Here is a 3272-nt window from a genome sequence, read left to right on the forward strand (position 1 = left end):
ACCTCATTTCTTTTGGAAAAATAACCAATTCAGAATTCAAATTTAATTAATTCGAAGTCAAACTCGATGCTTAGGCTTTAAAAAATCTCCTTTTCCCTTTGCCCCAGAGGTATGCTGTGAGTGCAGGTGGCAGGTGGCATGTATCCAGCACTGCACTGTGGAGAGGAGGGCCTGAGCCTCTGTGACCTCCACTCCTTGCTGGCCTCAACCAAGGTGTCTGTCTCTCCTGTGTGCACCACTGGCTACTGCTCCTGCCAGCCTGTGCTGTAGAGGCCTGTGGTGCTTGTGCTGAACTCCTGCTCAAGGTGTCTGCCCTCCTTAACTAGAATCCAGTTCTCGGGGCCGTGGCCCTCTCAGAGGCTGTGCCTCCTGCACAGAGGCACGTGGCCTCTGGAGCTCACCCATGATACACACAACACCAGAATCCCCATGGAAAACCACTGTCCTAGAGTGCTGCTCTACTTCATTCCCATGTCAGTGTGGGGCATTGTTTAAGGCAGGGTCCTTCAAAATTTCCAGATGGAAATGGTACATCACCCCCCAGAACCGTCCCCAGCCCTAACCTCTAGAGGAATAGCCAAAGTCAGATTCTCCCTCCCTACCCAGCCCCATTCACAGAGTTGGAGAGCCCTGTCCTCCTCAGACTCTCTCCAAACGAGAAAGGGTTTTTATTGCCTTTTTTTCTGTGACAGCAAGTGGCCATGACCTCATGTTCTCTACTCTATGGTTTACATTAAAAATTCTTAACTTAGCCCTCTATGCTTTGGATCTAGATATTTAAAAGCAATGTTTTGCAAGTGAAAAACAGAACAAAACCGTGTTCCATCTCAGTTGGCTGGCCTTTGTCATCGGTGTGCAGGTCATCAGCCTGTTCTCCAGTCCATCCCTACCCTGCCCCTGCCCAGCATTCTTGTCTGGGGACCCTGATGCTTGCAAACCCCATGGCAACTGGCTCTGGCTGGGATGGCCACTGGGAGATGCTAGCAGGAGATAAAGACAGGGGTGGCAAAGGAGAAGGCTGGGTATTTCCCTCTACCTCAGTGATAACTCTGCCGGAACTGACCCTGTGGATGCAGCTTCCTTGTAGGTTCACCATCTGCTCCCTTGTCTCTCCAGTCTTGGTGGTGGTGGTAATCTCTGGGTGACTTTGCCATCCACTCTTTGGTTTCTCACCTCCTCCATTTCCTTTTTATCCAGTTACCTATGTAATTTTTCTCTAAGTTCTTAGAGTGGTTTCTATTTTCCTGGTTATACTCTGATGATGTATCTAGCTTCCAAGACTCTTGATGCTTTTTTTTTTGAGATGGAGTCTCACTCTGTCACCCAGGCTGGAGTGCGATGTCATGATCTCGGCTCATTGCAACCTCTGCCTCCTGGGTCCAAGCGATTCTCTGGCCTCAGCCTGCGTAGCTGGGACTACAGGTGCACACCACCATGCCTGGCTAATTTTTGTATTTTTAGTAGAGAGGGGATTCGCCGTGTTGGCCAGGCTGGTCTTGAACTCCTGACCTCAGGTGATCCACCTGCCTCGGCCTCCCAAAGTGCTGGGATAACAGGCATGAGCCACCGTGCAGGGCCACAAATACTCTTGCTTCTGAAATGGGCTTCAGGAGTTCAACAGTGACCCTTTGTATTCCTGCTATAAAAATCCTAACTCTTCTTAAGACAAGGGATGGTAAATTAGGGGAAAAGTCATGACCAAAGAAGTACAAAAATAAAAAAGCATATTAATATATTTCAAACAATTTCACCACCAGAGCATCCACAGCACTGTATTGTTACGTGAATAGACATTTTTGCTGCCCAGAATATACGCCCTATATGCTCACAGGGCAGAGTTCTCAGATGTTCCTGTACTCATGTGATCTTTCTTTGATCCTACACCATGTCTCTTACCTCTTACTTTTAGCAGATTATATCCCATTCAATAGCATCCAAAAATCTTCTGCTAACTTTTTGGAGAACTCAGGTTAATGAAGTAATGGTGTGCATGTTCAGTTGTAACAAACCAGATTTTACACACTAACCAAAATGTGGATTCAGTAAAGAGTTTTAGAATATCAGTGTGTAATGACTGGTAATGGCTGGTTCAACAAATATACTAAAGTTTGAAGATCCAAATGAGTCCACACAGAGGTCACACAAATCAATTGTCTGTTAGGCCAGACAGGTAATGTACATGGTGAAGGTAGGTCCTATGTGTTACAAAGGGAGCAGAGGGACTGTGAAATCCAGAGAGGATGTGTGTGATCTCATAGGGAGATTCTCCACCCAGTGTCAGGTGATTCCAGCATCTGAGAATGGGGACCCATTATGATGCAATTTTTGAATTTTTAAAGAGAAGCCAGAAATCTAGACTGTATGTGAAAATCTCATGACTTGTAAAGTAATATCAATTAACTAAAATTTTTTTAAAACATTGTGCAAATTTAACAAAATCTGTCTTGAGCTACATAGGACCCCAAGTCAGCAGCTTGCAATCTCTATCCTAATTTGACATTTTACACTGCAGCAGTATACATGATATGCTGAAATAAGGCTGCCTTAACATTATAAAACTTGCTGACTGATGTTTTAGACTTACCTTCATAATATGGCATAGTTTTTGGAAGATTCTCATTAGTATGAAATCTATATCCTCTTTTCATGGTGGGCCAAATTTGTAAAAATAGCCAAAAAATAACAATAACATGTATACCTTTTATAATCAGAAAAAATTTAGCCCACCATTAAAGGAGGATATGAAAGCTAAATTTGGTAGGCCAAATTTTTTATCCAGAAAAGTATTCCAGTAACTTCCCATTTCTCTTGGCTCCCAAGCTACATGTATCTAGCACAATGCTAGAGATTCAAAAACATACTCAAAAAATCCCTGACTTCAAGAAATTCCCATTCTACTCCTTCCAATAGGTAGAAGGCCTATGACTGTGGCAGCAGGGCATTCCAACTGCCTGAGGGAGGGAATGTGGAGGAGCCTGGTTCATTTATTTAAAGCATTATAGCCCAGTACTACATCTCAGATCTTATCTCTGCCAAGAAAGCTGCACTGTCATGCTTTTCTGCCTGTGTGTTTGTGCATTACTCTCCACTTCAGCCTATTGAAACATCACTTTAACTTCAAATCTCAAATACACCATATCCAAAACTCTGCTAACTTTTTGGAGTTATTCTTTAAATTTCCATAGAACATTTTGTTTGTATTTTGACATTTATATTCTGCTTCGAAATACAGATTCTTCCATTCTTGTCTTATCCTTCATAGACCATAAAGC

At 43.3% G+C, this 3272-nt stretch overlaps 1 annotated feature.

Annotated features, from left to right (window-relative positions):
- Nucleotides 1-176: a silencer, noted in NCBI's record as "fragment chr15:56341781-56341956 (GRCh37/hg19 assembly coordinates)". NCBI's record gives its function as "represses an EF-1alpha promoter that drives an FKBP-Casp9 reporter gene in an ReSE screen in K562 erythroleukemia cells {active_cell/tissue: K562}" and the evidence as "EXISTENCE:reporter gene assay evidence [ECO:0000049][PMID:32094911]".

Source organism: Homo sapiens, chromosome 15, assembly GCF_000001405.40.
Source record: "Homo sapiens chromosome 15, GRCh38.p14 Primary Assembly".
In the NCBI taxonomy this organism is placed as follows: domain Eukaryota; kingdom Metazoa; phylum Chordata; class Mammalia; order Primates; family Hominidae; genus Homo; species Homo sapiens.